We start from the raw sequence: 26,564 nt of genomic DNA on the forward strand, positions 1-26,564 counted from the left end.
TTGTATTTGCAGTAAAAGCTGTAGTTGGCAGTGTCAGCTCTTTTTGCCAGCCTAAAGCTTGTGAGAGACACTCAACTCAATTCCACCTGAGTCTGATGAATTTAATGGAAGAAAACTGAATTCCCAGGAAGTGTGGTGGTCTAACAAATTCCATCAATAGGAAGCATTTTCTTGAGTTCTGTACTTCAAATATGCTATGGAAGCAGCCACATTCCTTGTTGATGATAGTCAGGGTTAGTTTCAAAGGGTTCTAGTTGGCACAGGGATTTCTGAATCTAAAAGACAAAAATGTGGAGAGAAAATAAGTTAGTATGAAAAGACAAGGGGAATAGCTGACAATACCAGCTCCTAGTGTCACTGTCATTTTGTACATTCGGGCCGACCCCCTCCTGCCCCTCAATGGTATAATAACATGGTAACTACGATGGGATTCTTGATTGAAAGGAGGTGAGGAGGAATTTCATTCTTTCTGAAAGTCTGAACTATTGACACAGAGTATGCAATCTTATGTCCTCTCCTGAGTCTTAGAAATCCCAGAAAGGCTACTCGATAGAAATCAGTGTCCTCACCTGGAACTGTACTAAATGGATACAGCCTGGATGAGCACAGCAAGGTAAAAGGGTTGAAGCACTCATCTCTTTTTCATGTCAGAGGAGTGCTGAAGCTCTTATATAGTAACTTTCTCCTTCTTTACACAGATTATGTGTATTTAGCAGTTAACTGTGCACCGTCAATTCATAATGCCAACGAAAATGTTGTCTAGACAGGGCTTCAGTATGCTCTGTCTATTCTTACGAATTCCAGAAGCCGGCTGGGCATGGTGGCTCACACCTGTAATCCCAGCACTTTGGGAGGCCGAGGAGGGCGGATCACGAGGTCAGGAGTTTGAGACCAGCCTGGCCAACATAGTGAAACCCCGTCTCTAGTAAAAATACCAAACTTAGCTGGGCGTGGTGGTGCGTGCCTGTAATCCCAGCTACTCAGGAAGCTGAGGCAGGAGAATTGCTTGAACCCGGGAGGCGGAGGTCACAGTGAGCAGGGATAATGCCACTGCACTCCAGCCTGGGCGACAGAGCAAGATTCCGTCTCAAAAAAAAAAGAATTCCAGAAGCCTCTATTAACCCAAACTATCCTGGCTACCTCTAAAACAGACTTTGCATTCATTTTCTATTGTTGCCATAACACGTTACCACAAATACAGTGGGTTAAACCAAAGTCCATTTATTGTCATACAGCCCTGAAGGTGAGAAGTACAGATCACCCTGTGGGCAGCGCTGGTACCCTCTGAGGTCTCTCTCCTTGGCTTGCAGGTGGCTGTGTTCTCTCTGTGGCTCCTCACATTGTCTTCCTTCTGAGCGTGTCTCTGTGTCCAAATTTCCCTTTTATCAGGACACAAGTCCCACTGGATTAGGACCTACCCTAATGACCTCCTTTCAGCTACCTCTGTGAACATCCTATCTCTAAATAAGGTCACATTGTGAGGTGATGGGGGCCAGGACATATTATTTCCAATATTCATATGAATTTTGGGGTGTGACATAATTCAGCGTATAGCACACAGTCACTATAGATGTGAGATCTCATAGAATCACCACAAACTGCAAAACTGACCCCTGATCACAGTTGTCAAACAAACTTAGCCATGGGCCTTTGAGGGAATCCCCTGTGGTCAGCTGCCTCTAAAATGCCTGAAGGATTCCTGCCTCTTGGTGTTTGTGCCTGTGGGCGGTCCACACCCCTCGATTTACTGACTGGTTTGAACAAGTGGGTTCTGGCAGCAGTGATGACACTTGTGGGATTAGGTTATAGAAAGACCTCGGCTTCTCACTGGGGGTTCCCTCCTGCTCTCCCTGTGCGGCTCCGTCTGGGGAAGCTGGTGGCCAGGCTGTGTGCAGCGCAGAACAGAAGCCCACAGGAAAGAATCTAAAAGTGGATCTTGGCCGGGCCTGGTGGCTCATGCCTGTAATCCCAGCACTTTGGGAAGCCGAGGCAGGTGGATCACCTGAGGTCAGGAGTTCGAGACCAGCCTGGCTAACATGGTGAAACCCCATCTCTACTAAAAATACAAAAATTAGCCGGGTGTGATAATTACGTCTGTAATCTCAGCCACTTGGGAGGCTGAGGCAGGAGAATCACTTAAACATGGGAGGCGGAGGTTGCAGTGAGCCGAGATCACACCACTGCACTCCAGCCTGGGCAACAGACTGGGGACTCCATCTCAAAAAGCAAATTAAATAAAGTAAAAAATAAAATAAATAAATAAAACTGGATCTTGAATCTGCTGACAGTCACATGCCAGAGCCTGGGGGCAGGTTCTGCCCGAGTCAGGTCTGAGATGACTCCAGCCCTGGACAGCGCTGATGGTAGCCTTCTGACAGGCCCCAACTAGGCAGCACTGCGATTCCCGACTGCCACACAGACACTGTGGGACAATATGCATATGTTGTCTGGAGCTGCTAAGTTTTGAGGATAATTTCTTAGGCAAATATCACCTCCCTTCCGGACCAGGTCAGCCATATGTTGGATCTCTATTTGGTTAAAACCGCGAGTCACTTTGTAAGTATCAAAATCTGCCTTATGTAGCCTTTGGCCCCTAAATCAAGCTGTTAAGCAATGAGAACCTGAAACTTCAAGGAGTTTTATAGCCAGTGAATAGAAGAAAGTTCCTTTTAGGATAGTTGGGATAATAAAATAATGTCAGCTTTTTATTGTAGACTTCTAAATATCTCTAGTGTACTAAATCAGGGACTTGGATTCCCACATTAGCCAGGATTTAGGGGTGAACTGCCAACAAACAACCCCACAACCGCAAATTGGCCTTTCCTGCCTGTGGGTCTGTGAGTGGCTACAGGGCCCCCAAATGAAAGGGGGGTGCTCAGGTGCAATTAGTGCACCTCTCATTTGGGGATTCTTAGTTTAAGAGTGAGGGAATGCTATTCATCCCATTGAAAGAGGTGGGGAGTCAGCATTAGCTGGACCATATTAAATCTAAAACAGCCCAAATCCTTGTCATAATAATTCATTATTCTTCATTCCACACTCAACGTACATTGCTCTTGAAAGATAGGAGAATATCCTCCCCAAAGGATACCACCCCCTCCCCAAAGGATGCCACACCCTCCCCAAAGGATGCCACCCCTCCACAAAACAATGCCACACCCTCTCCAAAGGATGCCACCCCTCCCCAAAGGATGCCATACCCTCCCCCAAACGATGCCACACCCTCTCCAAAGGATGCCATACCCTCTTCAAAGGATGCCACCCCTCTTCAAATGACACCACTCCCTCCCCAGATGATGCCACACCCTCTCTGAAGGGTGCCACCACCTCTCCAAAGGATACCACACCCTCTCCAAAGGATGCCACCCCCTCTCCAAAGGATGCCACACCCTCCCCAAAGGATGCCACACCCTCCCCAAAGGATGCCACTCCTCTCCAAAGGATGCCACACCCTCCCCAAAGGATGCCACCCCTCCCCAAAGGGTGCCGTGCCCTCCCCAAAGGTTGCCACCTCTCTCCAAAGGATGCCACACACTTTCCAAAGGATGTCATACCCTCTCCAAAGGATGCCAGCCCTTCCCAAATGATGCCACCCCTCCCCCAAAGATGCCACACCCTCTTCAAAGGGTGCCACCCCTCCCCAAACAATGCCACCCCCTCCCCAAAGGATGCCAACTCTCCCCAAACAATGCCACCTCTCCTCAAAAATGCCACACCTTCTCCAAAGGATGCCACCCTTCCTCAAACGATGCTATCCCCTCCCCAAAGGATGCCAGCCCTCCTCAAACGATGCTACCCCCCTCCAAAGGATGCCACCCCTCCCCAAATGATGCCACCCAAAGGATGCCCCCTCCTCTCCAAAGGGTGCCATTCCCTCCCCAAATGATGCCACCGACTCTCCAAAGGATGGCACCTCCTCTGTAGAGTGTGCTATCCCCTCCCGAAAGGATGCCACCCCCTCCAAAGGATGCCACCCCTTCCAAAATGATGCCACACCCTCTCCAAAGGATGCCACCCCCTCCTTAAACAATGCCACCCCTCCCCAAAGGATACCACCCTCTCTCCAAAGGAAGCCACCCATCTCTAAAAGGTGCCACCCCCTCCTCAAGGGATGCCACCTCTTCCCCAAAGGATGCCACTTTGGCACAAGGATTATTTGGAGCTGAAGGCCAATAATAATCCATTGTTGAGAAACAACGGATGTAAAAAAGCTTTCTGCTTGCCCCTATTTTCCTAAAAGCAGGACAAAATGGACAAAGTTGTCTTTGCCTCTCCACCAGGAAGGAATCAATTTAATCATGTGAGATGATTTTAGATGCTTATCAGCCAGGAGACAGCACCAGTGAAATCTACATGCCAGGCCTTAACTCGCCGGCCCTCTCCACCACTGCTTCTCATAACTCCCCTCCTCCACATCTTTCACTGTTCGCCTTAGCTGAAGGCACTACACAGGCCGGAGTTCTCTAGCTGAACTAAGGAAAAGTCCTGCAGCAACAGTATTTGTTAGAATGTTGGGGTGCTCAGGCCTCCAAAACAGAACCTATCTCTCCGACCTTCTCCCACCCTCCTTTTACCTACTCGTTTTGCTCCCCAGGCAGGCCACAGAAATGAAAACTGTAGTCTTTCCCCACCTTTCTGTCTCGGACCTGGCCATAAGGACATTTTCTGACTTCCCTTTTCTGATTGTGGGTCATAAGACTCCCAGTTCAGAGAGGGTCCTGCCCCATACCCAGGAGGAAGGATGCTGCCCAGAGAGGCCAAGAAGAGTCTGAACACATGGGCTCTGCTGGGGTTCCCCGCTCAGTCTGTTGGGGTTACATCCACACTTTCTGTCCGGTCACATTTCTACATGGCTGTCTTCTATCATGTCCATCCAATGAAGTCTCCATAAAAGGCCCAAGGGGACAGGTTTTGGGGGCTTCTGGAGGGCTGAACTCGTGGGGGCTTGCAGGAAGGGTGAGGGAGAATTCATTTGCAGGCTGGGAGGGTGGCGCAGCCCAACTCCGCTGGGTCAGAAGGCCCTGCGCTTGGACCTTTGCAGAACTCTCCCTCTGCATTCCTTCATCTGGCTATTTATTTGTAGCCTTAAACTATTCTTTAAATAAACAGGTAAATGTAAGTAAGTGTTTCTCTAGTTTTATGAGCTGCTCTAACAAATTAATCAAGCTTAAAGAGGGAGTCGAGGGAACTCCAAGTTACAGCTGGTCAGAAGTTCTGGAGGCTTGGACTTGCCCATGGTGTCTGAAGTAGAGGCAGCCTCGGGGACTGAGCCCTCAACCTATAGGATCTGATGCAATCTCCAGGTAGATACTGTCAGAATTTGTTTATTTATTTAGTTTTTTTATTGTTATGATTATTTGAGATGGGGTCTTGCTCTGTTGCCGAGGCTGGAATGCAGTGGTGAGACCCTAGCTCACTGCAGCCTGGAACTCCTGGGCTCAAGCAATCCTACTTCAGTCTCCTGAGCAGCTGGGACTACAGGCATGCACCATCGTGCTCAGCTACTTATTTCATTCTTGTAGAGACAGAGTCTTGCTATGTTGCCCAGACTGGTCTCCAGTTCCTGGGCTCAAGCAATTCCCTCCCACCTCTGCCTCCCAACGCTGGGATTACCAAGGCATGAGCCACTGTGCCTGGCTGAAGTCGGAATTAAATTGGGTTCAAGGACACCTAACTGGTGCCCACTAAAACATTGGTTGCTTGCTTGCTTGCTGATAGGGAGAAATCCTCACATGTTTGGTCACAGATGTCTTCTGTGTTCATTGTTGTGTTGTGAGATCAGAGGAAAAACAGTTGTTTTTTTTCTACATCAGAGGACACAAATATTCAGACCATAGCAGCTGTGGCAGGAATTTGCTGTTCTATTCCAGCCAACACCTGAAGACTGGTCCAGGCTCTTCCTTTCCTAGAGCATTTACTGAAACCAGCTCACAACTGGGAATGCTTCCTTTGGCGTGTTGAGATGTCCATGTGTCTCCTACAATCTAGCAGTGGCTCCTCGAGGAACCCAGAGCCATTCCTTTGAAACCAGGAGGGAGAAGGCCTTAGTCTCTGCCAGAAGGTAGAATCCTGACTTTGGGCCTGGCTGACTAGCAGACACAGATGGTCTCATCTGATTGGCACGGAGCCCCCGCTCACCCCATCTCCTTCCCTTTAAGACACCCCGCCACCCCTACACAAATTACAATGGAGGCGACTCTGTACTGACTGCAGCTGGCACTGAATGGAAATCTGTTTTCACTGCTTTAATGTCCAGCTTTATCTTTGCGTTAACTGAAAAAATCACAGGATCTATAAATTGGAAAAGCAGATTTCACTTCTTGTAGAGGGTTACAGCCTGCAAAGTGGCCATCCCTCGGGCAGGGAAGCACAGCCTTGGCCAAACCCAGTGCCTGGGCCAAGCCCAGGCACTTTGGGGGAGGGAGGAGTTGGGGCAGGAGCTCTGTGCTTGTTTGGCTTTGCCAAACACACATATTCCACAGCCTACGGGAGGACTATGGAGATCCATGAGGGTAGCCTTCACACATGTTCACGGAACACACATGCACATGACATGTGATGCATGCTTACCTTGAGGTGGAGGCTTCACATGTAAATGTATTCCAATTAGGTCTTTCCAGGACTCAAAGGTGCTCAAGTGCACAGCGTCTGTAAACTGGCCAGGACTAGCCCAAGGTCGTGGTCTCTCATCAGCAGAAAGCTCTTGAAGTCAGTGTCTTGTCCAGTGAATGCTGCCATCATGGCTGGTGGAGCAGGGGGTCGGAGAGTCAGCCTCTGTGAGCTGGGTAAGCTGCAATTGTCTTAATGTTGCTTAGCTGGAGGCCAGTGCTTGGTTAGCTGCTGGAGTAAAAGAAAACCCTTGCAGCAGTGAAAACATGGTTTATTCTTTAAGTGTAGGGTGCTGACTTAACCCTTAGGTCTTGTTTATAATTTGTCACCTTATTGCCACAAAGACTCCATCCTGTGTCTGTGTTTTTTTAAAAAATTCTCTTAACCTCACCTGGACTGTCTCTATGTTAACATGAATGCTGTCAGTTGTGTCTAAACCTCAACAGAAAGGGGTATAATGAGATGTGTCTGACTCCCACCCTATCATGGCCAGAAACTCAGTTTTTAAGGTTCTATGGGGTCCCTTTTACCAACAGAGTGTCTGTGCAGTTGGTTAGGGGTGCTTAGGATTTTATTTTTAGTTTACAGTCTCTAAATCAGGAGACACAGACCGGCTGGCCTATTTGTAGATATGCCAATTAGCATCCAGTGAAGGCTGGCCCCGGGTTTATGTGAAATGAGGAGGGTGAAACCCCAACCTGCAAGACCCTGGGCCCAAATTGCAGTAGCAACAATGCCAAAGTTGCAGCATTTTTCACAAAACAACTCTCACCTATTATTTTCCTTGAATTTCTTGTCATAGCAAGTGCGGAAGATTCACCAGAACCATCAGGCAGAACCACACATTTGTTTTCAGAAATGTCTTTCCTTTCTTTCCACAATGTTGCTTTGGCTTAAATGTTTGTGTCAGAGACGTGTGAACCAGAGCAACTCCATCTTGAATAGGGGCTGGGTAAAATAAGGCTGAGACCTGCTGGGCTGCATTCCCAGGAGATTAAGGAGGTTAAGGCATTCTAAGTCACAGGATGAGACAGGAGGTTAGCACAAGATACAGGTCATAAAGACGCTGCTCATAAAACAGGTTGCAGTAAACAAGCTGCCCCAAACCCACCAAAACCAAGATGGCGATGAGAGTGACCTCTGGTCATCCTCACCACTACACTCCCACCAGTGCTATGACAGTTTACAAATGCCATGGCAACATCCAGAAGTTACCCTATATGGTCTAAAAAGAGGAGAAACCCTCAGCTCTGGGAATTGCCCACACCTTTCCTGGGAGACTCATGAATAATCCCCACCTTATTTAGCATATAATCAAGAAATAAACATAAAAATGGGCAACCAGCGCACCATGCCACTGCTCTGCCTATGGATTAGTCATTTTTTATTCCTTTACTTTCTTAATAAACTTGCTTTCACTTTATGGATTTGCCTCAAATTCTTTCTTGCACCAGATCCAAGAACCCTTTTTTGGGGTTTGGACTGGGACCCCTTTCGGGTAACATTTGTGTCCCCAGCCCAAACTCATCTGTGGAAGCCCCAACCCTCAATGTGAGGATGGCATAGGAGGTGGGGCCTTGGGGAGATAATTAGGTCATCAAGGTGGAGCCCTCACTGATGGGATTAGGGCCACTGTAAAATGGACTCCAGAGAGCTGCCTCACCCCTTCCATCACATGAGGTTGCAACCACAAGACTGCACTCTACAGCCCAGAAGAGGACCCTCACCAGACCCCAGCCCTGCTGACACCTTCATCTTGAACTTTCAGCCTCCAGACTGTGATCAAAAATTCTATTGTCTACAAATTGCTCAGTCTCTGGTGTTTTGTCATAGCAGCTTGAAGTGACTGAGACAAATGTCCTCACTTGAGGATGAGGCATCAGCATTATCATGGAAGGACTACCAATGATCATGGTGACTTTTTTTCTTCTTTATTTCTTTAAACTGACAAAAATTGTATATATGGTGTACAAGGTACTGTTTTGAAATATGTATTGTGTTGGGAATATGGATTGGGGAATGGCTAAATCAAGCTAATTAACATAGACATTACCTCACATATTTATTTGTGGTGAGAACACCTAAAATCTACTCTCTTAGCAATTTTCATGTACTACATTGCTGTGAATTATAGTCATTGTGTTGTACATTAGATGTCTTGAACTGACTCCTCCTGTGTCAGCGTGCCCTAGCCCCCTCCTGTGCCCTTTAGTCAGCGTCTCTGGCCCCCAGATCCTGGTGACCATCATTCCACTCTCTGCTTTATGATATCAACCTCTTTAGATTCCGCATAGAAGTGAGATTATGCAGTGTTTGTCTTTCCATATCTGGCTAATTTCACTTAACGTAATGTTCTCATTTCACCCCTGTTGTCACAAATGAGGGAATTTCATTATGTTTTAAGGCCGGAATAGTATTTCATTGTACATATGTACCATATTTTCTTTACTCATTCATCCGACAATGGATACTTAGGTTAACTCCATGTCTTGGTTATTGTAAATGGTGCTGCAGTGAACATGGTGCAGATCTCTCTTCTGGATACGGATTTCATTTCCTTTAGATATATCCCCAGCAGTGGGGTTGCTATATCGTTTGGGAATTCTATTTTGAATTTAATAATGTTTTCCATAATAACTGTACTATCACGGTGATTTTGAAGATCAATATATCTCCACAGGGTAGACAGCTACACCATCATTAAAAAAAGAGAACAGTGGCCGGGCGTGGTGGCTCATGCCTGTAATCCCAGCACTTTGGGAGGCCAAGGCGGGCAGATCACAAGGTCAGGGATTCGAGACCAGCCCGGCCAACATGGTGAAACCCCATCTCTACTAAAGATACAAAAAATTAGCCAGGCATGGTGACGCAGCGCCTGTACTCCCAGCTACTTGGGAGGCTGAGGCAGGAGAATCGCTTGAACCCAGGAGGCAGAGGTTGCAGTGAGCCGAGATCGCACCATTGCACTCCAGCCTGGGGGACAGGGTGAGACTCCATCTAAAAAAAAAAGAGAACAGTGAAAATGAGAGACAAAAGTAGCTGATTCCCAGCTTCAATTTTGTCTATAATACTAATTTTCATGAAGAGCAACATAAACTCCTTGGAGTGCAGTTAAGTCCATATCTGGAGTCAAAAAAACAAAAATTCAAAACAAAACAAAACACCCATGATAGGTCTGAAATAACTTTTTGCTGTCAGAAAGCAAAGATGAGCCGGGTGCCAGTGGCTCACACCTGTAATCCCAGCACTTTGGGAGGCCGAGGTTAGAGTTCAAGGCCATCCTGGGCAATATAGGGAGAACCTGCCTACAAAACAAAACAAAACAAAAACAAAAACAAACAAACAAAAAAAACCAAAAACACGCACACACACACAAAACAAAAAACCAATTAGGCGCTGTGGTACTCACCTGTAGTACCAGCTACTTGGGAGGCTGAGGCGGGAGGATTGCTTGAGCCAGGAGTTTTGAAGCCACAGTGAGCCTGATTAGGCGGCAGAGCTAGACCCCGTCTCAGCAAAACAAAAACAAAACAAAAACAAAAGCAAAGGTGCTTCCAACAATCAGGGTGATCCTAAAATGACAGAGCAGCGTTTTGAAAATACCTCCCCGGGGCTGCAATGTGACCATTTGAGCACTAAAAACAACCATACAAATGGTTAATTAGAACATGCCCCATTTATAAAAGGAGGAAAGTTAACATACACGTTTCTAATAAGACAACAAAAGGATGGAAATAACATTGTGTTGAATTTTTGTTGATTTTGTTAAAAAGGAGCGCGTTGACACATAGGGGGATTTTGTTTCTTTAAGTTCATGTCTGTTTATATAAAGTTTAGGTCTGGGTGTGTGTGTGTACCTGTGTAAGCAGGAAAGAGTAAACAAAATCGAGAGCCCGGGACAAATGCACTTAAGAAGGGGCGACGGGAGGGCCAGGCTCGCCGGGCTGAGTGCTGAGGAGGGGGCGCGTCCCACCCATGCAAGCCCGGAACAAAGGCGCCTGTCACTCGTCACTCTCCACGCGGGCTGGCTCTGGAAAGCCCAAAGGAAAAAACCCTCACTTTCAGGAAGAATAAGCCTCAGCCCATGTATCTAGGGAACACGTGATGCTGCAAGAAACCAGTGACTTAACGCGTGTAAAAGCAGGAGAGCGTCAGAGGTTCTGACCCCGGGGGAGGAGCAGACCCGCGGCAGCGTGCGGAGACTTAGCGGGCGGAATCTGCCACCAACGCAACCTGGCCCAGAGGTTTTGAACTGACCAACTGGGAGACGTCCCCGAGCTTGAATAAGGGCCTCAAAAGCTTAGCGTTTTATGCAGAGTCGCAACCACCCAGCGCTGGGAACCTGAGCCTGCACAACCCACTAGAAAGCACCCGTGACCGTCCCCTGCGCCCGTTATCCCTGCGCCCCGCACCCCTGTATCCCCGGCTTCTCTGCAGCTGTACACCCTGCACTGCGGCGCCCCCCAGTCCCGCTGTCCGCTCCATCGCGCAGGTCTCCAAAACGAATCCCGGCTTGGAGGGGCTCAGCGGCCCTGGGCCTGTGCGCCGTTGCGGCCGGGAGGGTCATTTTCATGCCTAAGGACCCGCCCCTTGCACGCAACCTCGGGTAGCCAGCCGGAAACGGCGTCCCGGGCTCCAAAGGACATCTCTTTTTACATTTCAGCAAAACAGCCGCACACCTTCTCCCCAGATGGCCTCTGTGCAGCCTGAAAATGCCCGCTCCCTCCAAGTCCCTGGGCAATTGCTGGGACGCATCTCAGAGACTGCGCGGGGCGGAGAAGGGGTATGTGTTTGGGCCACTAATTTGATTTTCTTGGAAACTTTCTTCCAGTCCAAACCGGAGTCAGCTCCTCTCACCCTTGTAGAAAAGCATCCCGTGGGGGCGGGGCGGGGTGGGTTGGGGCCCAGCGTTGGGGGGTTGGGGGGGCGGTCAACACACCACCCTCCCGCCCTTTGTTAAGCTATTGAAGTTCAATTTCATTCCTTCTCCGTCTTCCATTGACCAGAGAGGAAAGGAATCCTTTGAATTTTTTTTTTAAGTTCATCAAATATCCATTTAGCATCTACTATGTGCCAGGCATAGCTGTTAGTACTTGGGGTGAACGCATCAGATGAAAACATGCCTCCCTGGAGCTTGCAATTTAGTGGAGGAGGAGGTGAGAGTAAACGTGAGGTGATGGCACGGTGTTGGAGGGGTGTTCACTATAGGCAGAGGGCGCCAGGAGGCCGGTGGTCGCGTAGGACAGGGAAGGCTGCAGTTGGAGAGCAAACCTGGAGGAGCAGCCGCGGTAAGGCCCAGAGTGCGAAGACGCCGCGTCTAAGGGCAGCAGAGGGGACCTGGAACTGGAGGGTTGGAAGAAGGGTGGTCACAGGCAAGCAGAAGGGGGCCTCAGAAAGACTGGACCTTGTTTTGAGTTTTTGGAGGAACCTCCGTCCTATTTTCCGTGATGGCTGCACCAGTTTACATTCCCCTCAACAGCGTGCGAAGGGTCCCTTTTCTCCACATCGTGACCAACACTTGTTGTCTCTTGTCTTTTTGATATTAGCCATTCTAACAGGTGTTCGGAGACATTTCATTCTGATTCTGATTTGCATTTTCCTGAATTTTATTTATTTATTTATTTTTTGCGACAGGGTCTCCCTCTGTGGCCCAGGCTGGAGTGCAGTGGTGCAATCTCGGCTCACTGCAACCTAGACTTCCCGGGCTCGAGGGATACTCCCGCCTCAGCCTCTGGACTAGATGGGACCTCAGGAACGACCACGCCCCGCTGATTTTTAAAAATTTTTTGTACAGACGGAGTCTTCCTATGTTGCCCAGGCTGGTCTCCAAAGCCTGGGCTCTAGCAATCCTCCCACCTTAGGCTCTGGGATTAGAGGCATGAGCCACCCTACCGACCCTCCTAGATTAGTAATGTTGAACACCTATTCATATGCCTGTTGGCCATATGTATGCCTTCTTGGGAGAAATGCCTATTTAGGTCCTTTGTCTATTTTTAAAGTTAGGTTATTTGGTTCTTGTTTTGGTTTTGTTTTTTGCTAATAAGTTGTAGGAGCTCTTATATATTTTGGGTATTAACCCCTTACCAGATGTTTGGTTTGCAAATGTTTTCACCCATCCATAGGTTGCCTTTTAATTTTGTTGATCCAGCCATCTCACTTCTGAGTATGCCCAATGGAAATAAAATCACTGTCATAAAGAGATACTTGCACTCCCATGTTAATTACAGCACTATTCATAATAGCTGAGATACAGAAACAACCTAAATGTCCATCAGTGAATGAATAAAGAAAACGTGGTATAGATATTAGTGTTACATGCTATACTACACTATAATAATGAAAATTATTCAGGTCTAAAAAAGAAGGAAACCATGTCAACAACATGGATGAACCCAGAGGACATTATGCTAAGTGAAATAAGCCAGGCACAGAAAGACAAATAATACTGCATGAGCCAACTTATATATGGAATCTAAAAAAGTCAGGGGCTGGGTGAGGAGGAGTACAAAGCTTCAGCTATAAGATAAGTAGTTCTGGAGACCTGAAGCACAGCATGGAGACTCTGGTTAATAACATATCATGGACATAAAATTTACTGAGTAGATCTTACATGTTGTCACCGCACACACAGACACATGCACACACACACAGGTAACCACATGAGGTGATGTGTGTGTTAATTGATTTGACTGTGGTAATCATTTCACCACGTGACATGTACCAAGACATCATGCTGTGCACCTTGAATATGTACGAGCTTTATTTGTAGATCATACTGTCAGAGGCATTTGAGTTAGAGCAACTCCATCTTGAATAGGGGCTGGGTAAAATAAGGCTGAGACCTGCTGGACTGCATTCCCAGGAGGTTAGGCATTCTAAGTTACAGGATGAGATAGGAGGTCGGCACAAGATATAGGTCACAAAGACCTTGCTAATGAAACAGCACGCGGTAAAGAAGGCAGCCAAATCCCACCAAAACCAAGATGGCGACTAATGTGACCTCTGGTCGTCCTCACTGCTCATTATAATACATTAATTATCATTAATTATAAGTAAAAGATACTCCCAACAGCATCATGACAATTTACAAATGCCATGGAAACATCAGGAAGTTACCCTATATGGTCTATAAAGGGAAGGAACCCTCAGGTCCAAGAATTGCTCACCCCTTTCCTGGGAAACGCATGAATAATTCACCCCTTGTTTAGCATATAATCAAGAAATGACCATAAAAGTGGCCAACCAGTAGCCCTCAGAGCTGCTCTGCCTATGGAGTAGCCATTCTTTTATCCCTTCACTTTCTTCCTTTTTTTTTTAATGGTGAAAATATATGCATATATTTAGAATTAGCCAGCTGGACTCAGTTTAGATGATCCCAATTTTGTTGGTAACATCCAAAGCACTGTAATCAGGAGCCAGTTGAACATATGCTCTCCATCAGGCTGATCAGGGTGTTGACCTTGGCCACATTAATGTCACAGAGCTTCTTCACAGCCTGTTTGATCTGGTGCTTCTTGGCTTTAACATCCACAGTGATCACAAGTGTGTTGCTGTCTTCTATCTTCTTCATGGCAGACTCAGTGGTTAGTGGAAACTTGATGATAGCACAGTGGTCAAGCTTGTTGGGGACAATTTGCCCAGGATATTTGGGCTGCCTCCGGAGTCACAGTGTCTTGGGCCACCAGAAGGTGGGTGACATGCGGATCTTCTTTTTTTGTGTGTGGCTATGGACACCTTTCAACACTGCCTTCTTGGCCTTCAAAGCCTTTGCTTTGGCTTCGGCTTTAGGAAGGGCAGGAGTTTCCTTCTTCGCTTTCAGTGCCATCTTGTGAAAAGCTCCTTTACTTTCTTAATAAACTTGCTTTCACTTTATGGATTTGCCCTGAATTCTTTCTTGTATGAGATCCAAGAACCCTCTCTTGGGGTCTGGATCGAGACCCCTTTCCGGTAACAGTACCTCAATAAAGCTGGGAAAAAATAAAAAGGGACCAGTAAAGCATTCTCAACAACAAAGAGCGTGGGGCTTTTCTTTGTAGGGCCCTGTGAGGCCTCTGGGGGTTTTCCAAGAAGCAAGGGCTTTGAGACTGTGTGGGTAAAGCTCCTGGGGCTGGAAATGTGATAGTTTTATAACTGTGATGATAGGGCCAGGCACAATGGCTCATGCCTGTAATTGGGAGGCCAAGGCGGGAGGAATGCATGAGCACAGGTGTTGGAGACCAGCCTGGGCAATATGGTGAAACCACTGTCTCTACAAAATACAAAAAACTACCCAGGTTTGGGGAGCCTGCCTGTAGTCCCAGCTACTCAGGAGGCTGAGGTGGGAGGATTGCTTGAGGTTGAGACAGCAGTGAGCTGTGATTGTTGCCACTGCACTGCACTCCAGTCTCGGCAACAAATTGAGACGCTGTCTCGAAAAAAAAAATGTGATGATGGCAAGTCTATCATGCACAAGCATGCTGCCCCGCACACCTTCAGGGACGGTCCCACTGGTTGTAGTGATCCACTGTGCAGGTGTCCTTGAGAATGCAGCCAGGCGGGGTTTCTCCTGCCTTCCCAGAGCTCGGCTTGTGGCGGGAGTGACGTGACAGTCACCCACTCAGTGCCACGAAGGGAGGTAAAGTGGTGATTGGATGGAAAGCAGTGTGTCTGGGCTCCCTTGCCTTGGGGTCACCTCCAACAGCTGCTGTGCCCGGAGGACTCGTGAAAAGTCACCTTGAAGCTACAGGTCGTGGCATGGAAGGGCTCACAGACAATTTTAGAGTAAGAGTGTCACACCTACACTAGGTGAGTCAACTTACCCCTCTCCACCCCTCCATCCTGGGTGCACGTGTCCATAGGTGTTGTCTCTCTCTGCTGTCAGACTTTTCCCAGGATAAAGTCCTACTTACGAAGACCAGGCCTCAGGTGCGAGAGCAAGAGTGCCGGGCAATGGCACGCAGGTGTGGCCACTGAGACACAGGATGTCCTGGCCACGCTGCAGAGAAAGGTGGGCTGGAATGGTGATCCCAACGGGAGTGCCTCAAATGAGCCAGGCCTGTTTAGCGTATCCTGAATATTCAGTGCCTATTGTATACTTAGCGTTGTCCTGAATATTTAGTGCCTCTTGCATATCTAGTCATCCTAGATACCTAAGCCTCATGTTTATTTATCTTAATATTTAGTGCCTCTTGTATACTTAGGGATCATTAACATCTAACACGTACTGCATCTTGTATCTATAGTGGTCATAAGTATTCAGTACCTCTCATAAATTTAGCAATCCTGAATATTTAGTGCTTCTTGTATAGTCAGTGATCATGAATATTTAGTGCGTCTTGTACACCTAGTCACCATGAATATTTATGTGCACTTTGTATACCTAGTGATCATGAACACTTAGTGCCTCTCATACATTTATCAATCCTGGATTTTCAACGTCTCTAATATATTTAGTGATCCTGAATATTTAGTGCTTCTTGTATATTTTGTGATCATTAGTATTTAGTTCCTCCTATGCGTTTAGTGATCCTGAATATTTAGTGTCTCTGGTATATATATGTGTGTGTGTATGTATATATATATATATATATATATATATATATATATATACACATTTTTTTTTTGAGATTGAGTCTCGCTCTGTCACCCGGGCTGGAGTGCAGTGGCATGATCTCTGCTCACTGCAAGCTCTGCCCGCCGGGTTCATGCCATTCTCCTGCCTCAGCCTTCTGAGTAGCTGGGACTACAGGTACCCACCAGCACACCTGGCTAATTTTTTTGTATTTTTAATAGAGATGGGGTTTCACCGTGTTCGCCAGGATGGCACGATCTCGATCTGCTGACCTCGTGACCCGCCCGCCTCGGCCTCCCAAAGTGCTAGGATTACAGGTGTGAGCCACCGCCCCGGCCTATTTCGTGATCATTAATATTTATATCCTCCTATGTATTTAGTGATCCTGAATATTTAGTGTCTCTGGTATATTTTATGACTATGAATACTTAGTGCCTTTCTGTTGTATATTTAATGATCATGCATATTAAGTGGTGCTTATATACTTAGCAATCATCAATGTTTAGTGCCCTGAGGCCTTCTGTTTACTCACTGTCTCCTGCATATTCAGTATTTTGGTCCCGCAACCGCCTCTGCCTTTGAGGCCCACAAGCTCTACTTATGACTTACCTCTGGATCTTGTACTCCAGCCTCCAGAGCTGCGAGCCCTAAACCCTGTTGTCTGTAACTTTCCCAGGCTGTGGTATTTTGTTACAGCAGCCTGCATGGGCAACTTTCGTTTGTCTATTTTACTTAACTGAGTGACCAAAGAAGGATGGAGCCATTCCTGGGCTGGGGATGACTGGGGGAAGTCTCAGTGTTCGGTTGGGGCTGGGGCATGGAGAACCTTCTGTGGGATTCTCTGCAGGGTGAAGTCAGGCCCCTTGAACAGGTGCAAGTATCAAGAGGGTGAGTATTAGCCTGGAGCTCTGGGAAATGTCCACAGTCCATGGTTTGTGGTCACTCAAGTCGTGGTTTGGATGAGCTCATGGGAAAAAGGAAGTGTCAGGGTGGAGGCCGCAGGACCTGTGGTGAGTGGTGAGAGGTACCCCCCGCCCTGGCACACACGGTCTTGGAGCTGTCCCTCAGCACACCACACCAGGTTGGCCTGCTGACTTGCTGTGACTCCCAGCGTGCGGCCTGAGGTACAGTGAGCAGCTTCCAGGCGAGGCCCCAGGGGGCCTTGGCCCCACCACCAACCCACTGCTGAGTCACTGGTGACCCCTCCTAACCCTCCCTGACCTACCAGCTGACCCCTCCTGACCCTTTGGGTGACCCCTCATGCCTCCTCCCTGACCCAACCCTGACCCCTCCTGACCTTCCACTGACCCCTTCCTGACTCACCAGCTAACCCATCCCTGACCTTCTGGCTGACCCCCCCGACCCATCAGCTGACTCATCCCTGATCCCTCCTGACCCTCCACTGACCCTTCCCTGACTCACCAGCTGAACCCCTCCCTGAACCCTCCTGACCCTCCACTGGCCCTCAGTGGGTGGCGAATGTCCAGGAGCCAGGTCTAGCCTGTTCACCAGACACCTGCTGTCCAGGAAGCCTGGCTCCCACCCCGGCCCCACAGGCCCACCAGCCACAATGCTTTGGGCTGGTTTGTTATCTTGGCAGGAGACACCTAGAAGGGCCTGGCCAGCAGGTGACCAGCAGGGCCCACTCAGGGCCATGGGTGGGCTGAGAGCACAGCCCACTGGGCAACAAAGGTGGCCTGGGGCCCAAAGGCAGCTCCACGAGGGGTGGCTGCTGGGTCCAGGGTCTGGAAGCCAGGTGTTGCCATGGACTTGGCATCCCCAGCCGCCTGCACAGAAGCAGCTGCCACCAGGCAGTGGTGGGACAGATGTGGCCAGCATCCCACTGCCCCTGACACTTGGTGAGCGGCATGCAGGAAACTAGAGACTCTTCCAGGCAGGCCCAAGACCTGCTCTGGTGATCAGAGTCGGGGCCTCTGTGGGACAGGATAACACACAGACAGGGACAATGAGGACGAGTTCAGCACGACCCACACTGGACAGGGGTCAGAGCAGATACCCAAAACTGCTTCCCTGAAGGACTGGCATCACAAACGCTTCAATGCAGCATCTCAGGAGAGGAAGAAATTGCAGGGAAGAGGGTGGTTGTTTTTTTTGTTTCGTTTTCGTTTTTCAATTGGAAGACTCGAGCATTTTGGTGTTGAGCATGTGGGAACTGACCAGCTGGGGCTGGGGAGAGACCCACAGTCAGGAGAGAGGAGGAGAGGGATGCGGGACAAAGCTGAGCCAAGCCGAGAGTTCTGCAAAACTGCAAGCTCTCTCTGTGGGTTACTCCTGAGGCTGGCTTCAGCTGCATTCTCCTCCTGGGACATATCTCCTTTTCTCTTCCTCCTCCATAAAGTGCCTGCCCATAGGGATGTGTGAAGTGTGATGAGCAAACTTCCAGTGAAGGTGGGTGCATGTTGGGAATGCAGCGGGCGGGGAATGCAACAGGCAGGGAAAAGTCACGATGCATCCACAGGACAGACAGCCAGCCCTGCAGAGATGAGTTGCCCACAGCCACCAAGAGGGCCCTCTTCTCTCCACAAGGTCCCCAAGTGATGGCTGCTGCTGCACCAAGGGCAGTCCCTGCTCCCCCTCTTTATACCTGGGGTAGGCCAGTGGCATCCTGAAAAGCACTAGGATGGGCCTCTCTCCTCTTGGGCATCTGGTCTACCCTCCTCATAGCCCTTCTGGGACCCCAGGCTTTCTTGCCTTTCCTTCTTGTTCTCCTGGTTACGGTGATGATTTGCTACACATTCGTGTATTAGGTTCAGATTTTTAAAAAAATCGAGCGGTGAAAATCACATGACACACAATGTACCATTTTAAAGTACACAATTCAGGTGCATTTAGTACATTCACAATGTTGTGCAGTTACCACCTTTGTCTAGTTCCAGACCATCCTCATCACCCCTAAAGGAAGACCTGTCCCCACTAGGCAGGCACTCCTCTCCTCCAGCCCCTGGCAGCCACCAGTCTGCCTTCAGTCCCTGTGGATTTGCCTGTTTTGGACATTTCGTATCAGTGGACTCAGACAATCTGTGGCCTTTGTATCTGGCTTATCTCACTGAGCATGCTGTCAAGGTTCACCCTGTAGTAGCATGTCAGTGCTTCATTCCTTTTGAATGACTGAATAATATTTCATTGTAATTGGATAGATCCCAATCTGCCTACCCATTCCTCAGTTGATGGACATTTGGGTTGTTTCTACCTTCTGTATTTCATGAAGAATGCTGCCATGAGCATTTGTGTACATGTTTGTGAATAAATGTGTATTTTCATTTCTCTTGGGTATGTATACCTAGGACTGGAATTGCACGGCCATACGGTGATATCTTCTTTATGCGAGAGTCTAATGAAGCTGGGTGCTTCATTACAGGCTCATGCCTGTAATCTCAGCACTTTGGGAGGCCAAGGCGGGCAGATCACTTGAGGTCAGGAGTTCGAGACCAGCCTGGCCAATGTGGGGAAACCCCGTCTCTACTAAAAATACAAAAATTAGCTGGGTGGCCGGGCGCGGTGGCTCACACCTGTAATCCCAGCACTTTGGAAGGCCAAGGTGGGTCGGTCACCTGAGGTCAGGAGTTGTTGACCAGTCTGACCAACAAGGTGGTGAAACCCTGTCTCTACTAAAAATACAAAAATTAGCCGGGCATAGTGGCAGTCGCCTGTAGTCCCAGCTACTCGGGAGGCTGAGACAGGAGAATTGCTTGAACCCTGGAGGCAGAGGTTGCAGTGAGCTGAGATGGCGCCACTGCACCGAGATCACGCCACTGCGCTCCAGCCTGGGCTACAATGCTAAATTCCATCTCAAAAAAAAAAAATAGCTCGGCATGGTGGCAGGCACCTGTAATCCCAGCTACTTGGGAGGCTGAGGCAGAAGAATCACTTGAACCCGGTAGGCAGAAGTTCCAGTGAGCCGAGATCACGCCACTGCACTCCAGCCTGGGACACAGGGCATGGCTTTGTCTTAAAAAAATAAAAAATAAGAAAAGAGTCTAATGAGTTTTCTCTTACCAAAGCAGGCAGCACTGGATAATTTACTACATTTCTGAATCAGATAACCCGATAAAGAACCAGATCTTAGACCAGAGCTGTCCAGTGCAACTTTCTGTGATGCTGGAAACATTCTGTATCTGTGCTAACATGGCATCCACTGGCTACATGTGGTTAGGGTGACTGAGGAACTACATCTTTGTATTAAATTTTAATTATCTGAAAATTAAATAGCTTGTGTGGCTCGTTACTGTCTGTGAAACACCATAGCCTCAGAGATAACAAATGCAGTGCTACCCCAAAGTAGCCCTCCCACCACGCTGCCTCCCCCTTCACCCCATTTGAGCACCTTTTACAAAATCTGGAAATCCATGGTGATAGTTGAAACACCTAAGTCCCCAGACCCTGCAAAAACCTTAAATACCACTAAAGGGTATTTGAAGAGATAGAGTGACCTACATAGATATAAATACATAAAGATAAATTTCAACTGAAAATGAAGGCTTTCACAAGAAAAATAATGAAAAGATCTCTGGAAGGCTACACCCTCTCCTGGCCAGTCCTTGCAGTTTTGTTTTACTGAAATGGTGCCCACTCGTGATACACACTGTGAATATTGTGCTGTTTAGATCCACACTGTTGGAGCAGCTGCTTACCAATTTTTGGTTCAAATAGTTTCATAGCACTGGGATATTTTCTAAAGACATGCAGATTTGTGGTTAGCTGGTGTCCAGGAAGCCCTGACTTGAGTAGACCCAATTTTAGTAGGGTAAATATAAATTATATAATATTCCTGAATAATTTTACTGGCCTGTATTTATTATTACAATAAATACTTAATAATTGCTAATTACCCTGATCTGATAATAAATGTATTCAAAGTATCACTATGTACCCCATATAATATGCAATTGTTAGGTGTCAATTAACTAAATACTAGCACTTTGGGGATTAAAGAAAAAATAAAAACAAAGTAGGAATTATCCATATTTTGAGAAATAGATTAATGAAAACTGTACAGATAACAACAGAAGAATAACACTTTCTGAGCTCTGATTTTGTGGCAAACATTTTTTAAGGGATTATCGTGGATTAAATCAATGAACCTCTCTCCTCCAGGATTTAGGGGCTATTAACACAGCCATTTCAGTTAATTTGCCTGGAGGTCTCCGACGCTCTTAAACCCTCCATTTTATAAGGAAAAATGTAGTTACAAACCGTTATTTTCCTAAAGTCCACATGTATCATCATTCATCTGGTTCTAACAATACTCATTTTAAATTTGCTTAACTCGCAAATTTAGTTTTCCTTTTCAAAAACAGTGTACAAATTATTTTGTTCTCCAATTTTAGCAATCAATTTAAGGGGATCTTTGATTAATGTTTGACCAACCCGAATTAAACAAACTAAATTCCTTTAAATAATTATCCTATTCCAAATTAAGTCTTCTTAAAAGGTTTATACCTTTCAGCATCTACTAATCTGGTTCCTTTTAAGTACTGAAACTTTCCTCATGACCTTTAGAATTCCCAGCCAAATAAATTAAATCTTAACACTGGTGGAGCTCACATTGTTAAAACTTAGCAATTTAAATAGAAATCCATAGACTTACTCTTCAGAATTAAAGTGCAAACTACTTAGAGATCATAAATACTTTTAATATCAGATAAATCATTAAGAAATTGCATTCTGTACTTGATGACCACACGGGAACCTTGCTAGAGTCAAGAGAACTTGTCACTAGTAATTATGAAGACACCTTTACGGTGAGCGTTATTAAAACCCTACTAGAGGTTTTGGGTGGGACTCAAGAGCAAGGGGTGGCCACCTGTGGACGAGGGTTCCCTGTTGTTAACAGAACACGTTGCCCACCTCGCAAGTATGCAGCCCAATCAGTCCCCAGGGTCTCGGTTCCCGTTGCGCCCTTCCCCATGGCCACTGCGCTCATTCATGAGCCTAGGGTGATCAGGCCTCCGGCCTATAAAGAACTGCAGGATCAGTGCGGCTCTTTTCTCGAGATAGTAGGTGGCTCTGAAAAGAGCCTTTATGTCCATCAAAGGGGCCCCGGGGGCGGCGGGCGGCCTCACTTGCCCTTGGCCTTGTGGTGGCTCTCCGTCTTCTTGGGCAGCAGTACGGCCTGGATGTTGGGCAGGACGCCACCCTGCGCGATGGTCACGCGGCCCAGCAGCTTGTTGAGCTCCTCGTCGTTGCGGATGGCCAGCTGCAGGTGGCGCGGGATGATGCGCGTCTTCTTGTTGTCGCGCGCCGCGTTGCCGGCAAGCTCCAGGATCTCGGCAGTCAAGTACTCGAGCACCGCGGCCAGATAGACCGGGGCGCCGGCGCCCACGCGCTCCGAATAGTTGCCCTTGCGGAGCAACCGGTGCACGCGGCCCACGGGGAACTGCAGCCCCGCGCGCGACGAGCGCGACTTAGCCTTGGCGCGCGCCTTGCCACCCTGCTTACCACGACCGGACATTTCCGAGTCAAGGAAAAAAGACAACGGCAACCGAAAAGCGAGACTAAAAACAAGAGGGCAGTGAAGGCCAGCGAGCCCTTATGTATGGTACAGAGGTAGGCTAGACCGCGGCGTTCGATTGGATGGCTATGGTAGCCAATCAGAAAAAGAACCTGGCACTCCTAATTTGCGTATTCCTTTCCCAGCGATGACGTAGAACAACGTTTGATCCAATCAGAAGTGAGCAAATCCTGAGCCTTCATTTGAATACAAAACGTACAAATAGAGTTACTCCGAGCGCCGCGCGTTTCTGTTTGGAGAGACTCAGCCATCATGCCAGACCCGTCCAAATCGGCTCCTGCGCCCAAGAAGGGTTCTAAAAAGGCTGTCACCAAGGCACAGAAGAAGGACGGCAAGAAGCGCAAGCGCGGCCGCAAGGAGAGCTATTCTATCTACGTGTACAAGGTGCTGAAGCAGGTGCACCCCGACACCGGCATCTCGTCCAAGGCCATGGGCATCATGAACTCCTTCGTCAATGACATCTTCGAGCGCATCGCCAGCGAGGCCTCCCGCCTGGCACACTACAACAAGCGCTCCACCATCACGTCCCGCGAAGTGCAGACGGCCGTTCGCCTGCTGCTGCCCGGCGAGCTGGCCAAGCACGCCGTGTCCGAGGGCACCAAGGCTGTCACCAAGTACACCAGCTCCAAGTGAGGCGTTCCTCGGCGTCCTGAACCCAAAGGCTCTTTTCAGAGCCACCCACACGATCAAGAAAGGGTTTCGAACACGGTGAAGGGTTATGTAACCTAATGTGTCTCCATGCACCCTAGCGGTTGCCGGGTGCGGCCGAATCTGAGCCGTGTGTGTGTGTGTGTGTGTGTGTGTGTGCGCGCGCGCGCCGGCACAGAACGAGAAAAACTGCTCGTTACAGAAATCGGGGTAGAAACTGCTCAGGTGATGTAGCTCAGTAATGTTGGGAGGCGATCAAGGACCCCCTCTCCATCCCCTCCCTCCGCGCAGAGCTATTAACTCACGACGAGATTTCTTTTTTTTTTCTTTCTTTCTTTTTTTTTTTTTTTTTTTCTAGAAGAAGTCTCGCTCTGTCTCTAGGCTGGCGTGCAGTGGCGCAATCTGGGCTCACTGCAACCTCCGCCTCCTGGGTTCAAGCGATTCTCCTGCCTCAGCCTTACGAGTAGCTGGGATTACAGGCACGCCCCACCACGCCTGGCTAATTTTTTGTATTTTTAGTAGAGACGGGGTTTCACCATGTTGGCCAGGATAGTCTCGATCTTCTGACCTGGTGATCCATCCGCCTCTGCCTCCCAAAGTGCTGGGATTACAGGCGTGAACCACCGCACCTGGCCCCAAATGTCTTTTATAAGCAAGTGGTGCATTCCTGGATGTTGAGCGCTTGCGCCCGGTTCAGGACCGGGTCCAAATGAGGTTGGCGTGCGCCGTGCAGGTGAGGAGTGCGGGTCACCTCCCCCCAAAAGACCCTGTGCCAACCTCCCCAACCCTACCCGCCCCCCATGGGCGAGGCCAGACGTGGCGCAAGACCACGGGCTCTGAGGCCATGGGTGTTGTCACTTTCCCCTGGCGGTGGTGCCTGGCTCTGCATTTGCTTAAGACTTTTCCATCCCTGCCTGGACCAGACAGACATGTTTAGATTTAAGCAATGAACATTCCGGGAGGATATTTTCCTGGCAGGATACCGCGATGGCAGGATGTTTGATACCGAATCGAAGCACGGCGTCAAAGCAGCGTCCTGCGCGGGGGAGCCGGATGTAATAAGCGACCCCAGCTGCCGGTAACTTTAACCCTTATGGGAGTGGGGGTGGGGGAAGGGGTTAATTTAGGAGGAAAAGAATTCCCTTTTTCTGAGCAAATGTAGCTGCCTCCCTCTTTAGCCACATTATTTTCTGCGAGGCGTTAGCAACGCAGAATTCCTTTCCTACCCCCTCCAAATTCACGGCATTTATTTGGGGAGTGCCATTTTGGCGCAGGAAAGCTCTTTGGCACGAAGAGTTTTCACTTTGGAAAGGGCATCGTTTACGTTTTCATGACTTGGCTTTTCTTCTTTAGAAAAAGAAGATTTCCAGTAATTGCTTCCTCAAACCGTTGTGAAAATTCGAAGTACTGAGCGTTTGTGTCACCATTTCCAGCAGGGAATAAAAATTCAATAAAGTTAAATGAGAAATAATTTTTTTTTTTTTTGAGACGGAGTCTTGCTCTGTCGCCCAGGCTGGAGTGCAATGGCGCGATCTCTGCTCACTGCAACATCGGCCTCCCGGGTTCAAGCGATTCTCCTGCCTCAGCCTCCCGAGTAGCTGGGACTACAGGCGTGCGCCACCCACGCCCAGCTAATTTTTTTAATTTTTAGTAGAGACGGGGTTTCACCATGTTGGCCAGGATGGTCTCGATCTCTTGACCTCGTGATCCACCCTCCTCGGCCTCCCAAAGTGCTGGGATTACAGGCGTGAGCCACTTCTCCTGGCCGAGAAATAATTTTTAAATAAAATTCAATGAAAAATATTTTTCCCCCAAGTCATTTCTCCAAAGGGAACCCGTCGCGTGCCTGGGATGGGGAAAGAAAGGTCACCGTGAACATCCTCGACCAAAACGGCTTTGTCCCCTATTCCCCACCTTTTTTTTCCTGCGTGATTCCTCTACAAGAATCTTTGAGAACCTCGCATGTTTTAAAGCTATCTAAAATATTTTTATTTTCAATTAAAATAGTTGCAAAGATACAAATACCAACGTGGAACTTTTTAAAAATCAAAATTCTCACATCAGTCTCAAGGTGCCTTTTGGAATATCAATATGATAGTATAATCAATTCATAAAATACATGACCAAATTTTTCTTTGTCAATGCGATGTTTCAGATGATTTTTTTCCTCCTGAATGCCTATTTCCATTCTCCATTTGCCTTACAATTTCACCCTACCATAATATATCTATTGTATGTTTAATAGTGTTTTGTCTATTGTTCTCTGCAAAAAAGTCTACATTGAAATTTAAGCATACCTCTGGGTAGTCTCTCACTGTTAAGAAAAATCATCTCGACAGTACACAATTGTTCAAAACATAAATAATTTGATGTTATCAAACAGATAAACTTTTAGTGAAACTGACTCTTAATGAGCTGGATGGTGCACCCACTCTCTTCTCTCCTCTCCTTTCCACCTCAATGACTGCACACATGCAGTGTTCATATTGTTACAGTGTTAGCACAGCATGGGATCATTTCCATATGGTTACAATGCTAGCAGTGCACGGGGTCATTTCCATTCTGTTTTGTTTTGATATATGCTCCAAAAAAAATTTACAAAAAATACACAGGAATGACAATTTTGTCATAGGCACTTTATTCAATTCTTTGCATCCCTAGTTATAATCCAAATATTAAACAGTGATCCATCATCAAAAGTAAGTGGGACTTGTCAACACCCTTAGTACTGTCAAGAAATATAGGATTTGTATGAAAAGCTGTTGAATCCAGTCCTCTCCACTATGAAACAGGTGCCCAATGACTGGAACATCCAAGCCCTCGGCCTCCTACCAGCATGGATTGGAAGTCAATACCTTAAACATTTGCAGCTGTGAAACTACTCTCACAGACCCATATAGTTCTCCACCTTAATGAACTTAAAACATAGGTTTAATAAAGTGAAACCAGTCTCCAGTAGAGAGAGTGAATGATTGTGTTAGCACAAGGCAACAACACTGGTTAGTGCCAGAGATCAAATCAAGGCACAAGATGAACATTTCATGACATTTTCCAAGTGTAATTCTCTAAGAAGGCATTTTGTGATGGATAATGTCAAACGTCAGTCAATTCATGTCTCAGTCCTTCTGATTCCCCTGGCACAAACTTGAAGTAGAAACAGGCTGTCTTTTCCTGCTACATTAGCACCCCCAGGCCCAGAATGAATGGGATTTGTCCGTCTCTCCT

General features: G+C 47.7%; 2 protein-coding genes, 1 long non-coding RNA gene and 1 pseudogene across 3 annotated transcripts, besides 5 other annotated features; 1 reads left to right on the forward strand and 3 right to left on the reverse strand.

Moving 5' to 3' along the window:
* Nucleotides 1-87: 87 nt before the first annotated feature.
* On the reverse strand, nucleotides 88-9,846 carry LOC124904538 (uncharacterized). The gene is made up of 2 exons (XR_007066919.1): nucleotides 6,571-9,846; nucleotides 88-275 (listed from the first exon to the last, which is right to left on the reverse strand). It is a non-coding gene; the product is annotated as an uncharacterized LOC124904538 (long non-coding RNA).
* Nucleotides 5,203-5,487: a silencer, noted in NCBI's record as "fragment chr1:228628090-228628374 (GRCh37/hg19 assembly coordinates)". NCBI's record gives its function as "represses an EF-1alpha promoter that drives an FKBP-Casp9 reporter gene in an ReSE screen in HepG2 liver carcinoma cells and K562 erythroleukemia cells {active_cell/tissue: HepG2 | K562}" and the evidence as "EXISTENCE:reporter gene assay evidence [ECO:0000049][PMID:32094911]".
* On the reverse strand, nucleotides 13,927-14,449 carry RPL23AP15 (ribosomal protein L23a pseudogene 15; annotated as a pseudogene).
* Nucleotides 16,790-17,554: an enhancer, noted in NCBI's record as "H3K27ac-H3K4me1 hESC enhancer chr1:228639677-228640441 (GRCh37/hg19 assembly coordinates)". NCBI's record gives its function as "activates a minimal SCP1, AML or CMV promoter by ChIP-STARR-seq in naive and primed H9 embryonic stem cells {active_cell/tissue: H9 hESC(naive and primed)}" and the evidence as "EXISTENCE:reporter gene assay evidence [ECO:0000049][PMID:30033119]".
* Nucleotides 22,178-22,687, reverse strand: H2AC25 (H2A clustered histone 25). Its single transcript, NM_033445.3, has one exon. It carries the CDS (start codon nucleotides 22,629-22,631, stop codon nucleotides 22,239-22,241), a length of 393 nt encoding a protein of 130 aa, NP_254280.1. The 5' UTR covers nucleotides 22,632-22,687; the 3' UTR covers nucleotides 22,178-22,238.
* Nucleotides 22,810-23,396: an enhancer, noted in NCBI's record as "H3K27ac hESC enhancer chr1:228645697-228646283 (GRCh37/hg19 assembly coordinates)". NCBI's record gives its function as "activates a minimal SCP1, AML or CMV promoter by ChIP-STARR-seq in naive H9 embryonic stem cells {active_cell/tissue: H9 hESC(naive)}" and the evidence as "EXISTENCE:reporter gene assay evidence [ECO:0000049][PMID:30033119]".
* On the forward strand, nucleotides 22,917-23,372 carry H2BC26 (H2B clustered histone 26). The gene has a single exon (NM_175055.3). The coding sequence runs from the start codon at nucleotides 22,944-22,946 to the stop codon at nucleotides 23,322-23,324; it is 381 nt and encodes a 126-aa protein (NP_778225.1). The 5' UTR covers nucleotides 22,917-22,943; the 3' UTR covers nucleotides 23,325-23,372.
* Nucleotides 23,397-23,982: an enhancer, noted in NCBI's record as "H3K27ac hESC enhancer chr1:228646284-228646869 (GRCh37/hg19 assembly coordinates)". NCBI's record gives its function as "activates a minimal SCP1, AML or CMV promoter by ChIP-STARR-seq in naive H9 embryonic stem cells {active_cell/tissue: H9 hESC(naive)}" and the evidence as "EXISTENCE:reporter gene assay evidence [ECO:0000049][PMID:30033119]".
* Nucleotides 24,064-24,113: an enhancer, noted in NCBI's record as "active region_2695". NCBI's record gives its function as "activates an Ori minimal core promoter by ATAC-STARR-seq in GM12878 lymphoblastoid cells {active_cell/tissue: GM12878}" and the evidence as "EXISTENCE:reporter gene assay evidence [ECO:0000049][PMID:35858748]".

Source organism: Homo sapiens, chromosome 1 (assembly GCF_000001405.40).
Source record: "Homo sapiens chromosome 1, GRCh38.p14 Primary Assembly".
Classification (NCBI taxonomy): Eukaryota; Metazoa; Chordata; class Mammalia; order Primates; family Hominidae; genus Homo; species Homo sapiens.

Excerpts from the sequence above, each read along its gene's own strand:
- H2AC25 (NM_033445.3), bottom strand. The coding sequence starts at position 22,631 with ATGTCCGGTCGTGGTAAGCAGGGTGGCAAGGCGCGCGCCAAGGCTAAG.
- H2BC26 (NM_175055.3), top strand. The coding sequence starts at position 22,944 with ATGCCAGACCCGTCCAAATCGGCTCCTGCGCCCAAGAAGGGTTCTAAA.